The sequence below is a fragment of the Homo sapiens genome, chromosome 6 (assembly GCF_000001405.40).
Source record: "Homo sapiens chromosome 6, GRCh38.p14 Primary Assembly".
In the NCBI taxonomy this organism is placed as follows: domain Eukaryota; kingdom Metazoa; phylum Chordata; class Mammalia; order Primates; family Hominidae; genus Homo; species Homo sapiens.
In genome coordinates, this window is record NC_000006.12 from 3,203,459 (window position 1) to 3,216,494 (window position 13,036).

At 45.3% G+C, this 13,036-nt stretch overlaps 3 annotated features.

Annotated features, from left to right (window-relative positions):
• Positions 5,590 to 6,789: an enhancer, noted in NCBI's record as "P300/CBP strongly-dependent group 1 enhancer chr6:3209282-3210481 (GRCh37/hg19 assembly coordinates)". NCBI's record gives its function as "activates an origin of replication core promoter dependent on BRD2, BRD4, P300/CBP, MED14 and CDK7 cofactors, with strong dependence on P300/CBP, by STARR-seq in HCT116 cells {active_cell/tissue: HCT116}" and the evidence as "EXISTENCE:reporter gene assay evidence [ECO:0000049][PMID:35650434]".
• Positions 5,737 to 6,031: an enhancer, noted in NCBI's record as "tiled region #8505; K562 Activating DNase unmatched - State 1:Tss, and HepG2 Activating DNase unmatched - State 4:PromP". NCBI's record gives its function as "activates a minimal TATA promoter and a strong SV40 promoter by Sharpr-MPRA in K562 cells, with weaker activation in HepG2 cells {active_cell/tissue: HepG2 | K562}" and the evidence as "EXISTENCE:reporter gene assay evidence [ECO:0000049][PMID:27701403]".
• Positions 6,032 to 6,121: an enhancer, noted in NCBI's record as "active region_23885". NCBI's record gives its function as "activates an Ori minimal core promoter by ATAC-STARR-seq in GM12878 lymphoblastoid cells {active_cell/tissue: GM12878}" and the evidence as "EXISTENCE:reporter gene assay evidence [ECO:0000049][PMID:35858748]".

A 13,036-nucleotide genomic window follows, 5' to 3' on the forward strand; every position in this document is an offset into this window, starting at 1 on the left:
CCACAGAGAGATCAGCCCTCAAGAATGTAAGTAAAGTAGTGCTAGCATAGAGATGACGGTAGATCCACTCTAGCAGAGCTTAAAAATGAGCCACAGAAGGATCATACTGATAAAACTATGCGTGCAGTAAATTAACTGCCTGCAAGAACCAAGTTCAATGCTCGTTAAAAGAAGACAACAACATTCAGATGTTCAACAATGAAACATTCAAAACGTCCACCATTCAATCCAAAGATGCTAGACATGCCAAAAAGTAGGAAAATCTGACCCATAATCAGGAGAAAAATCAAGTCAGTAGAAAAACAACCAGAAATGATGGGGGAAAAATGTAATTATCAGACAAAAATTTTTAAACAGCTAACATAAATATACTAAAGAATTCAAAGTAAAACTTGAACACAATGAGGAGATAAATGGTAGACATAAAAATAATCAATATTATGGTATGTTAATTATATCTCAACTAAAAATAAAAAAGATGAAAATTCTAGAGCTGAGACCGGGCGCAGTGGCTCACACCTGTAATTATAGCACTTTGGGAGGCCCAGGCTGGTGGATCACTTGAGGTCAGGAGTTCAAGACCAGCCTGGCCAACATGGGGAAACCCCATCTCTACTAAAAATACAAAAATTAGCCAGGCGTGGTGGCACACGCCTGTAATCCCAGCTACTCAGGAGGCTGAGGCAGAAGAATCACTTGAACTCAGGAGGTGAAGGTTGCAGTGAGCCGAGATTATGCTACTGTACTCCAGCCTGGGCAACAGAGTGAGTGAGACTCCATCTTAAAAAAAAAAAAAAAAAAAAAAAAAAAATTCTAGAGCTGAAAACACAATATCTGAAATGAAAATTTTGCTAGATGGTCCTAACAGAGTACTGGACACTGGAGAAAAGTGAAGTTAAAGACATGAAAATATAAATGATCAAATTGAAAGACAGAAAGAGGAAAGAGACTTTTAAAAATGAACATACTTTCAGTTCTCTATGAGACAATCTCAACCATACATATAATTAGAATCCCAAGAGAGAGAGGCAGAAAATGTATGAAAAAACTGTGGCTAAAATTTTTTCCAGTTTTGATGATAAATATCAATTCATAGGTCCAAAAATCTCAACAAAGCCTAGCAGGATAGACAGAAAACAACAGCAACAAACTACATCAAGGCAACATACTCATAGCCATATTGATGAAAACTAGTGGTAAAATCAGGCTATGAATGTCTGCTGAATTCTTACCACAGACCCGGCAAACAAGGGGGCAATGAATCAACATCTAGAAATGCTGAAATCAAGCCCACCTAAAAGTCTCAATCCAGTCACAATGGTCTTCAAAAAGGAAGGTGAAATAGACGTTTGAAGATAATCATGACTTAATTTATCGCCAGCAGATCTTACTACAATAAATGTTAAAGGAACTTCTTCAGGCTAAAGAAAAATGAAACCAGAGTAAAACTCAGATCTACACAAAATAGCAAAGATCACTGGAAATGGTAAATATGTGGGTAGATTTTAAAGTGAGCGTGAGGAGAAAAGGGAGTAAAATATACATCTTCAGGCACACCCACCCTCCAAATAGGGTCTAGATCAAATTTGAAGAGCCTAGCTGACACCTCAGCAACTCCAGACTTGCCACCGTGGCTGGCGGTGCTAACATAACTTCCAAGGCTGGAGTCGAGGCTGGCAAGCCCTCCAGGGACCCAGAGATTACCAAAGATGCAGTCGTAGTTCCTAGGCCCTGGAGTCTCTGGATAACGTCTGGACTACAGGCTGCACTGTCTTCTCCATGGTCTGCCTGACAATGGCTTGACCTTGACTCTGGCTCTTATTTCTTTTCTTTCTTTCTTTTTTTTTTTTTTTCTTTTCTGAGATGGAGTGTTGCTCTTGTTCCCCAGGCTGGAGTGTAGTGTTGCGATCTTGGCTCACCACAACCTCCGCCTCCCAGGTTCAAGTGATTCTCCTGCCTCAGCCTCCTGAGTAGCTGGGATTACAGGCATGTGCCACCATGCCTGGCTAATTTTGTATTTTTAGTAGCCCAAAGTGCTGGGATTACAGGCATGAGCCACCGTGCCCGGCCTTTTTTTTTGATGGAGCCTTGCTCTTGTTGCCCAGTTAGAGTGCAATGGTGGGATTTTGGCTTGCTGCAACCTCTGCCTCCTGGGTTCAAGCAATTCTCCTGCCTCAGCCTTCCAAATAGCTGGGATTACAGGCACCTGCTACCAAGCCCAGCTAATTTTTGTGTTTTTAGTAGGGAAGGGGTTTCACCATGTTGGCCAGGGTGGTCTCGAACTCCTGACCTCAGGTGATCCACCTGCCTTGGCCTCCCAAAGTGCTGGGATTACAGGCGTGAGCCACCATGACCCGCCTCTGGCTCTTATTTTAATCAGATTTGGGAGTCCACAAATCCATTCCTGCCCTGTCCCCTAACTTAGAGGCTAGTCCAGAGGTTCTTGCTTGGTGACATATAGAGGAAGGAGAGAAGCACCAGCCAGTCTTCCCATACTGCCAGTGTTTAGGCCCTATGGGGATTACAACATTGTGTTCAATTCTTTCCTTAGGCAGCTTTCACTCCACATTGCGTCATGTCTGCTATGCACACTATGAGCTTCAGACTATTGGGTTTCACTTTTTTCCTTAAGTTGGCCACCGTGGGAGTCTTAAGAAAATGTGTTGTGTTAATGAAGCATATGCTGAATGTGCTAGCCCAGCGCAGCCACCACGATGATTCACACATGACCTAGAAAACTGATTGAACCAGTTAGTCTCCCTGATTTCAGTTCCTGGCCCTTCTTGTCTGTCCTTCCCATCATCACCAGATTTTCCTTTGCAAGCCATCACTCTATGTTATAGACTGAATGTTGTATCCCCCCGAAATACATATGTTTAAATCCTAACCTCCAAAGTGATAGTCTTAGGAGATAGGGTCTTTGGAAGGTGATTAGATCATGGGGGTGGAACCCTCATAAATGGGATTAGTGTCTTTATAAAACAGAAACCTGGGAACTCTCTTTTCCGGGTCTTTCTACCATGTGAGGACACAAGGAGAAGGTGGCCATCTGCAACCTAGAAGAGCGCCCTCACCAGGACCCGACCATGCTGGCACCCTGATCTCAGACTTCCAGCCTCCAGAACCATAAGAAGTGAATTTCTGTTGTTTATAAGTCACTCAGCCTAGGGTATTTTGTTATAGCAGCCTGAATGGACTAAAATACTCTAATGCCATGTTAGCACCCTCTTCAAAATCAGAACTGCCTTCTAATGTGCCATTGGCTTTACCCAGATAGAGTGACTGCCAACGTGTTTGTAATGGGGGCCAAGGGTCGGGGGAACAAGGCAAAGAGCTCAGGAGCCAAAGAGATGACAGGCCAGTGGATGAGGCAGATGTCAAATATGCCTGGAGATGCTGAAGGACACACGTCTCTCCACTGTTGCCAGTGGGATTAAAAGATCATTCTTCCTTTCAGGCATTTGAATTACAAAAGCAATGCAATACCAAAACATCAAAAGTAGGTTTAATAGTCTCCCTTCCCTGCCCCTCTCGACACCAGAACACACTGCACATATTTCTTCTTGATCATGACCCTGGAGAGATGGTTTCATGGAAGTTTATATGTTTGCACTTCAAAGTCGATGACTTCAAGTCTTCATTATGTTACAATTTTGCTGGTTCCATTTTATAACCTAGAGAAATGTCTTAGGAGCCAGGCATGGTGGCTCACACCTGTAATCCCAACACTGGGAGGGCAAGGTGGGAGGATTGCTTGAGCCCAGGAATTCAAGACCAGCCTGGGAAACATAGGGAGACCCTGTCTCTACAATTTTTTTTTTAAATTAGCTAGGTGTGGTGGTGCATACCTGTAGTCCCAGCTACTTGGGAGGCTGAGACAGGAGGAGGATCACTTGAGCCCAGGAGATTGAGGCTGCAGTGAACTGTGATGGCACCACGGCACTCCAGCCTGGATGACAGAGTGAGACCCTTACTCTTAAATAAAATTAAAAAAAGAAAAATGTCTTTGTTTAGTGTTGCTGTGTGTGTGCTTGGGTGCGTGTGTGTGTGTGTGTGTGTGTATGTGTGTGATTTGTAACAGAGGTTGGGATTTCAAGAGAAGAACAAAAAAGTCAAATATTTTCTCAAACTCTTCTCTCATAAAAGAAAGAAGGTTTGGCTGGGCACAGTGGCTCATGCCTGTAATCCTAGCACTTTGGGAGGCCAAGATGGGTGGATCACCTGGGGTCAGGAGTTCAAGACCAGCCTGGCCAATGTGGTGAAATCCCATCTCTACTAAAAATGCAAAATTTAGCTGGGCGTGGTGGCACATGCTACTAGCTACTTGGGAGGCTGAGGCAGGAGAATCACTTGAACCCGGGAGGTGGAGGTTGCAGTGAGCTGAGATCACAACACTGCACTCCAGCCTGGGCGACAGAGCAAGACTCTGTGTCAAAGAAAAGAAAGATTTTTAGCAATTCAGTGACACGAAAGTGAAATGGTTGCAACAGCTGCCAAATTAGGGAAGATTAGCCCTTCCAAACATTAGGCGAAGCAAGATGGGACTCGTTTTAGAAGCTGCAAAGAGTTTGGATTCCCTTTTCATCTCATTATATCCACAGTTGAGAGAATTTCAGGGTGGGAGTGTATCTAAGGTTCCCCAGCACACTGCATTTCTAAGGGTACCGTGGTTCTCGGGAGACATCAGTGACCCTTCCTCCTGTCCTTCTCTTGCTTCCTTGGTATTCTCCTCACCCTTTCCTGATGGGCTGTTACTGATTCTGTCTCCATAGCTGAGCTGTAAAACATTGCATACCACGGATGACGCACATTTGCCCTGGATCCTTTTCCATCCCTCAGCAATCTGTGACCCAGCCCTTTGCCAGCTGCTTGGGAGCCAACACTAATGACTGGAAGCAGGTCGGGGCCATGAACCTCTGAGACGGGAAAACTTGCAGGCAAGAAGGAATTCCTACCAGGCAGCATAGCGCTTAGACCGAAATGCAGCTCCGCCAAAACTGGCTGATGGGGAAATGACTGAGACATTTCTCTATGTCTGAGAAACTTAAAGTTTTGTGGAGAAAGGAACTGACAGAATTTCTATGTAAAGTTGTCAGAACCAAGGGGGCTTAGGAAATCCACCTCGGTTCCGAGAAGACTCCCTGAACGGCGTGGTGGGGAGCTTTATCTTGAAAAGGATGAGTGATGGATGAGGTGGCAAGGGCAGGCTCGGAAGAGTGAGGTAGAGAGAGAGAGAGAGAGAGAGAGAGAGCAGGAGCCCAAGCTTGGGGGCTGGTCAGCAGGGAGCAGGGGAAGCTTTCAGGTACTGGGTAGGGCTAGAGGTAGGGTGACTGTCAATCAGGGTAGAAGTCTGCTTTCAGAGGGTATTCAGCATTGTATTAGGACACTTGCACTTTATACTTCAGGGAAATGAGAGTTTAAGAAGTGAAATAACAGGATCAGGTTTTCAATTCTGATAATCACCCTGGCTGCAGTACAAAGCATAGATTGGAATCTCTCTTCTTAGTGTAGTATCTGTCAATGGTGGGTGCTCAGTAAATATCTGTTGAACAAATGGTCAGTGAAGAAAGGAAAGGGAAAAAGATCCCTTTTAATAGGCTTAATGGGCCTGCAGCGAAAAGTGTCACCTATGAAACTCTCCAGACAGGTGGGGTGGGGGAATTTGACACAGATGCTGCTGCCCTGCTGCAGCTTTGTTTCATTCTGTTTTTAATTTACCGGGGCTGCAAGGGAAAGGGCGACTTCTGGGATCTCTGGAGCTAGGATGAGTCAAAGGCCTGCTGACGACATGCTAGAGCTCTGCTCCTCGCAGCACGATCAGGCAGCAGCGGCATCAGCTGGGAACTTGGTGGAAATGTAGAATCTCTGGCCCCGCCCTAGACCAACTAAGCCAGAATCTGCATTTAACTAGATCCCCAGGTGATGAGTAGGCACTTGAGGGTTAGAGGAGCCGGGTGTAGACTCAGAAGCTCCGCCCTGCAGATGAATCATCAGGAGAACCCGGAAGAAGTAGGAAGAGTGGGAGACCTGAGAAATCCGTATTTTCCCAGTCTCCTCTGCTTGAGACTGCAAGTGGGGCCACACTAATAGAAACCTATGGTTTTCTCCAAAAGCCCCAGCAATTTCATATGATTCAACCTAGTACTTTGGAGAGTCCCCAGAGTGTGACTCATGACTCCCCCTCACTCAGTTACCACATGGAATTCCCACTTTCCTGCTCTCTGACCTGGGCACCAGCCACGGCTCCCAAGGGTGCTTGCTTTACGGGGCACTCTGTCTAAGAGGTGAGAATTCTTCTGCACTGCCTTGAATGGCTTCAGCAATGACAACGATGATAACCAACAATGTCAAGAACTGCTATACACCAGGCACTGTTCTAGGTACTCTTTTGGATTTAACCTTATGAATCATAATGATCGTTACTATTTCACAGATGAAATTTCTATTTCACAGATAAAGAAACTAAAGCCCAGAGAGGTTAAGGAGCTTGCCAAGTCACAGGGCATGTGAGTGGAGTGACGCCTGCTTATCATTTGGGCCCCGGGGGCAGAGCTGCTTGATGCTCCAAGAATCACACAGAACCTTTAGCAAACGAGCTCTTTTTGTTTATTGCTGGGAGCATGAGCTATAAGCTAAAGAAACCACTCAGAGGAACTAGAGACTTATGAGTGGTTCTAAGATAAGTTAATGAGGTTAGGGCTGTGCTGCTGGGGGTGCATGTGTTCCCAGGAGCTGATGTGGCCCACTGAGTCCCTATAACCTCCAGCATAATCAGGCTCAGGCTGTAGCCCCTGCTGCTGGGGCAGACAGAGGAGTTCAGTGAAGGCTGGAACTGTCACAGGCAAGCAGCTCTGCCCGAGGAAACCTGAGCAGGATCAGGAGAAGCGGGATGAGGCCAGTGAGGAGCCCCAGACCAGGGCCACAGAGACCCCCAGGATCTACTGAAGGTGATGGAACACCCCAAAGACAATGCTGAATGTCTACATGAGGAAGTGTCTCCATCACCGGTGGCCCAGAGATAACTGAGGGAGCAATACAGGACCCGAAGGCCGAGGTCCATCCTTGGGCTATGTCCAGGAATGAGAGAAAGGAGGAGGCCCATGCCCAGAAGCGCCTTCACCCCAGGTCCGCTGTGGTCTCACGACTGAGACCCCCTGCTTGCACCCAACCCAGACAGTGCTGAGGAAGGGAAGAGGAAGCAGGAGGGGAAGCCTGTGACAGGACCAGCTGTGCCAGTCTGTAGGAGGCTGAGCTAGGATAAGAATCCTGTGGCTTGGAAGTCCTTTGCTTCCAGGATTTAGAATCTCTCAATTCTTCCAGGGCTGTTCTAACCTTACTTCTTTAAATTTATTAATTTTTTTTTTAAACAGGGTCTCACTTTTTCACCCAGGCTGAAGTGCAGTAGTACTATGCAATCTCAGCTCACTGCAACCTCCCTCTCCCAGGTTCAAGTGATTCTCGTGCCTCAGCCTCCCGAGTAGTTGGAACTACAGGCGTGCTCCACCAGGCCCGGCTAATTTTTGTATTTTTTGGTAGAGATGGGGTTTTGCCATGTTGGCCAGACTGGTCTTGAACTTCTGACCTCAAGTGATCTGCCCGCCTCAGCCTCCCAAAGTGCTGGGATTTCAGTGTGAGCCACTGGGCCCGGCCTCTAACCTCATCTTATGGGACTGTCTTACATCCTTACTTGGATGAAGAATGGAGGTGTCAGTGAACCCCTAGAGGCCAGAAGTAGGGCTGACCCTGCAGTGAGTTTCCTCAGGGCCTAGGCATGAGCCAAGGAAGCTGGCGTAGTGATGAGAGGGCACTCAGAGGGCAGGGCTGAGAGGCTGCTGGGAACCTGCTCATCCCTTCTCTCCTGGACTCTCCATCCTCCTCCTCCTGCTCCCTCAGTCACCACCCTCAGGCTGTGCTTCTCCTTAACAGGATCCTCCTCTGCGTGGTCATTAGTGGGACTGCCCTAGGGGAAGGCCTTCTTTAGGTCACACCCCTCTTTCTCCCACCTCCTGGTCTCGGGGTCACTTTGGAGCCTGTGGTCCTGGAGGAAGCTGTAGCAGCAGGGACTGAGGAAAGACTGCAAGTTCCAAAGATAACTGCATCTTCTATGGCTTTTTAAAATTTCCAGCTGAACCCTGGAATAATTGAATACAGGGTTCAACACTTAAAAAACAAAAACTGTTCTGATGACTAGAAGCAGGACAGAAGCACTGGTGGCCTCTAAAGGGGGTCTGCCCCCAGAGACGGCTGTGGGTGAAGCCAGGCGGATGGCAGCCTGCCCTCTTTCCTGCCAGCACACACATCAACCGCTTGGCTTTTTATGAGAAAATCCAAACAAAGGGGCATGATTGTGTGAGATGCCAGTCTGTGTGCCAGCCTGCGAGCCTGCCCAGGGGATGGGATGGCCAAAGACTGGGGCTGGACGTCACAGGTCAAGAATGCAGAAAGGCTCCTGGCAGCCTCCTCTTTCAGCAGAGGAATGGAAAGCTCTAATCTGGTGTCTCCTGTGGGAGGAAGAGCTAGGGATCAACACCAGGCAACAGCCATACTGTCTTCCTCCCAGAGAGAGACCTGTCAACATTGCTAGGGGAAGAGGAAAACAAACAAACAAGAAAGGAGGCCAGGCTAATGATGACAGAGAGAAGCATGAGCTCCATGAAGGAGACAGCCCTCATTATCCAGCTGCATTTTCAGTAATAACACATCTTGGCTGTTTCAAGAACCATGGTTTGAGTCCATCCACCTACAAGAACCCGGATTCTTATTAATATGTGAATTCCATTAGACTTGCTAGTTTAGGGGATGTCCATGTTGCTTCCTGTATGAAAGTGACCCTGATTTCCAGCCAACATGAGTGAGTTTTCTGTGCACAGTGCGTGCGCAGGCTGCCTGTGCTTACCTGAGCTTCTGTCTCTCTCCCCCGCTGGCTTGGAACCCCTGGAGGCTGGAGCGTGTTTATCCACATTCGTATCCTTAGCACTGTGTCAGGCACATAGTAGGTACTCAGCAGATATTTGTTGAAGCAAAAGGATGATGAGATAGAAACATGACAGTAGGAACTATGAGACTCAGGAGACTTTAGAAATGACCCAATTTCGGGATAGGTGGAAGACAGCAGACATTGGACATCAGGCAATGAATGACAGTGACTCCAGAGAAAAGGGAAACAAATGAGGTAGCCATATAATTTCCCCAGTTTACTATCTGGAGGTATTTTCCATGCTGCAGTGCAGGGAGGGAGAAACCCAGACAGAGTTTGGTGGTCTCATTGAGTTGAAAATACAGAAATCAGAATTCAAAGTCCAAGTTAGAATTCTGAGAACTCGAGTTAGCTAGAAACACAGAGCAGAATACAGAAGTGGAAGAAACTTCACAGAGAGAGCTTGGAGGTCAGCAGAGAGGTCCTCTTGGGTCTTCAGCTGACAACTGATATGCAGAGGCAAGATAAGAAACTGTGAGAATAGGGGAAGAGCAGCTGGAAAGCAGTAGACCAAACAATTCCCACTGCTCACACAGGCCAGAATGGAAACACCTCATCATGTATGGGGCATTTCCTTAATAAGGGGCGTAAATGGCCAGGTGCGGTGGCTCACGCCCGTAATCCCAGCACTTTGGGAGGCCGAGGTGGGTGGATCACGAGGTCAAGAGTTCGAGACCAGCCTGACCAACATGGTGAAACCCTGTCTCTACTAAAAATACAAAAATTAGCAGGGCAAGGTGGCGCATGCCTGTAATCCCAGCTACTCAGGAGACTGAGGCAGGAGAATCACTTGAACCTGGGAGGCAGAGGTTGTAGTGAGCCGATATCGTGCCGCTGTACTCCAGCCTGGGCAACAGAATAAGACTCCATCTCTAAATAAATAAATAAATAAATAAAATAAATAAATGGCGTAAATTATGCCTAGAACAAAATCTACTTTGGACCTGTTCTAGCAAAGCTTAAAAGCAAATTTCAAAAGGACCCAACTGATTCCACGTAATGTAATTGAGTGCCAGAACAATATCCAACAATGCTTAAAGGACTACAACACAACCCAGCACTCACCAACATAAAATTCACAACATCTGGTATCCAAATGAAAGTTGCAAAACAACTGGAAAATATGGCCCATAACCAGGAAAAAAAAATTCAATAGAAATATACCTAGAGATGACACAGATGATGAAATCAGGACTATAAAGGAGCTGGTATAAAGGTGCTCCATACATTCAAGAAGGCAGAGGAAAACATGAAGAGGCAAGAAATGGAACATTTTCAAGACCTAAATAGAACTTCTAAAGATTAAAAATATGTCTGGATGTAAAATACCCATATAAGATTAACAGCAGATTAGACATTGCAGAAAAGGTCTGTGAACTTGAAGGAGAACCTTTGAAGCACAGAGAGGAAAAAGACTGACCAAAAAATGAACAGATTGACAGCAAACTGTGAGACACAATAAAAAATACATACATAATACATGTAATTGAAATCTCAGAATAAGTTGGGAACCCACAAAAATATTTTTAAAATTTATGGTAGAAAATTTTATAAACTTGAAAACTCAGAGATTCAAGAAGCTCCGTGATCCCCAAGTAGAATAAATGCAGAGGAAATTACACCAATGTACATCATATTAAGACTGCCGGAAAATAGTGAGAACAAGATAACATTCAAAGCAGCCAGACAGAAAAATAAAATATTACATAAAGGCAAACAAAATTAATAATGACTAGTGACTGCTCATCTCATACAGCACAAGTCAGGAGACAATGTTATTTTATGAATATCTGACAGAGAACAAGTTGCCAACCTAAAAATCTATATCCAGTGAAAATATCTTTCAAAAATGAGGCAAAATAAAGGCTTTTTTTTTTTTTTTTTTTGAGACAGGGTTTTACTCTGTCACCTAGGCTAGAGCGCAATGGCACAATCTCGACTCACCGCAGCCTCTGCCTCCCGGGTTCAAGTGATTCTCCTGCCTCAGCCACCTGAGTAGCTGGGATTATAGGAACCATCACCACGGCCAGATAATTTTTTTTTTTTTTGAGACAGGGTCTCACTCTGTCACCCAGGCTGGAGTTCAGTGGCACGATCTCGGCTCACTGCAACCTCCACCTCTCAGGCTCAAGCGATTCTCCCACCTCAGCCTCCTGAGTAGCTGGGATTATGGGTGTCCACCACCACGCCCGGCTAATTTCTGTATTTTTAGTAGAGATGGGGTTTCACCATGTTGGCCAGGCTGGTCTCAAACTCCTGACCTCAAGTGATCCACCCACCTCGGCCTCCCAAAGTGCTGGGATTACAGGTGTTGAGCCACCATGCCCGGCTGCCCAGATAATTTTTGTATTTTTAGTAGAGACAGAGTTTCGCCGTGTTGCCTAGGCTGTCTTGAACTCCTGAGCTCAAGCTATCTGCCCAAAAATAAAGGCCTTTAAAGCCCAACAAAAGCTGAGAGACTTATTGCCAGCTGACTTGCACATCAAGAGATGTTAAAGGAAGTTCGGTTCTGTAGGGGGAAGGAAATGTGGATCCTCCCAAACAAATGAGGAGACCTGGAATTTAAATGTGTGGATGAACGTGTTTTTCTTAGTTTTTAATCTTTAAAATGATAACTGTTTAAAGCAAGCTTGTCCAATCCATGACTCATGGATGGCTTTGAATGTGGTCCAACACAAATTCATAAACTTTCTTAAAACATTTTGAGGGTTTTTTTGCAATTTTTTTTTAGCTCACCCTCTATCTTTAGTGTTAGTGTATTTTATGTGTGGCCCAAGACAACTCTTCTTCCAATATGGTCCAGGGAAGCCAAAAGATTGGACACCCCTCGTTTAGAGCAAAAGCAATAACAATGTATATTTTCAAAATACAGTTGACCCTTGAATAACGTGGGGGTTGGGGCACTTGCCCTACCCCTAGTTGAAAATCTATATATAACTTTTGAATCCTCAAAAACTTAACAGTCTACCTCCCAGTAATACTATACTCATAGCTTACTGTTGACCAGAAGCTGTTCTGGTAACATAAACAGTTGATTAACACATATTGTGCGTATTATATGTATTATATACTATATTCTTACAATAAGGCAAGCTAGAGAAAAAAATGTTATAAGAAATTAATAGGAAGAGAAAATATATTCATTCATTATGTATGAGGATGAAGACCTCTATGATGATCCACTTCCACTTACTATTTCTTTTTTCTTTTTTTTTTTTTTTTTGAGATGGAGTCTCGCTGTGTCACCCAGGCTGGAGTGCAGTGGCACAATCTCAGCTCAGTGCAACCTCTGCCTCCCAGGTTCAAGCGATTCTCCTGCCTCAGCCTCTCTAGTAGCTGGGACTGCAGGCGCTCACCACCACGCCCGGCTAATTTTTTGTATTTTTAGTAGAGACAGGGTTTCACCGTGTTAGCCAGGATAGTCTCGACCTCCTGACCTCGTGATCTGCCCACCTCGGCCTCCTAAAGTGCTGGGATTACAGGCGTGAGCCACGGTGCCCAGCCTCCACTTAATATTTCATTAGGTGGAAGTGGGTCATCATAAATGCCTTCATGCTCATCATCTTCACGTTGAGTGGCTAAGGAAGAGGAGGAAGAGGAGGGTTGGTCTTGCTGTCTCAGGGGCAGCAGAGATGGAAGAAAATCTTTGTATGCGTGGACCTTCACTGGTCAAACCCATGTTGTTTAAGGGCCAACTGTATGTGAAAATAAAGTATGGCTATAAAAGCATGGAAGACAGGAGGGGTTAATGGAAGTACACCATTGTAAGGGTCTCACACTATGCATGAAGTGGTAAAGTATAACTGGAAGGTAGATTGTGATAGATTAAAGATGTGTATTTAAATCCTTACAGCAACCACTAAAATCATAAACACAAATAAACCAATAGTGGAGATAAAAATGGAATTTAAAAAATACTCTTAGCAGGGAAGCAATAAACAATAGCCAAAATTGAAGCGAAAATGTCATGACCAGAACTGGAATTGCCTGGGTCCTAGACGTGTGCTCTTATTCTAATAAAAAAGGAAAGAATGTGCCATGTAAAGCATCAGAGTAAAG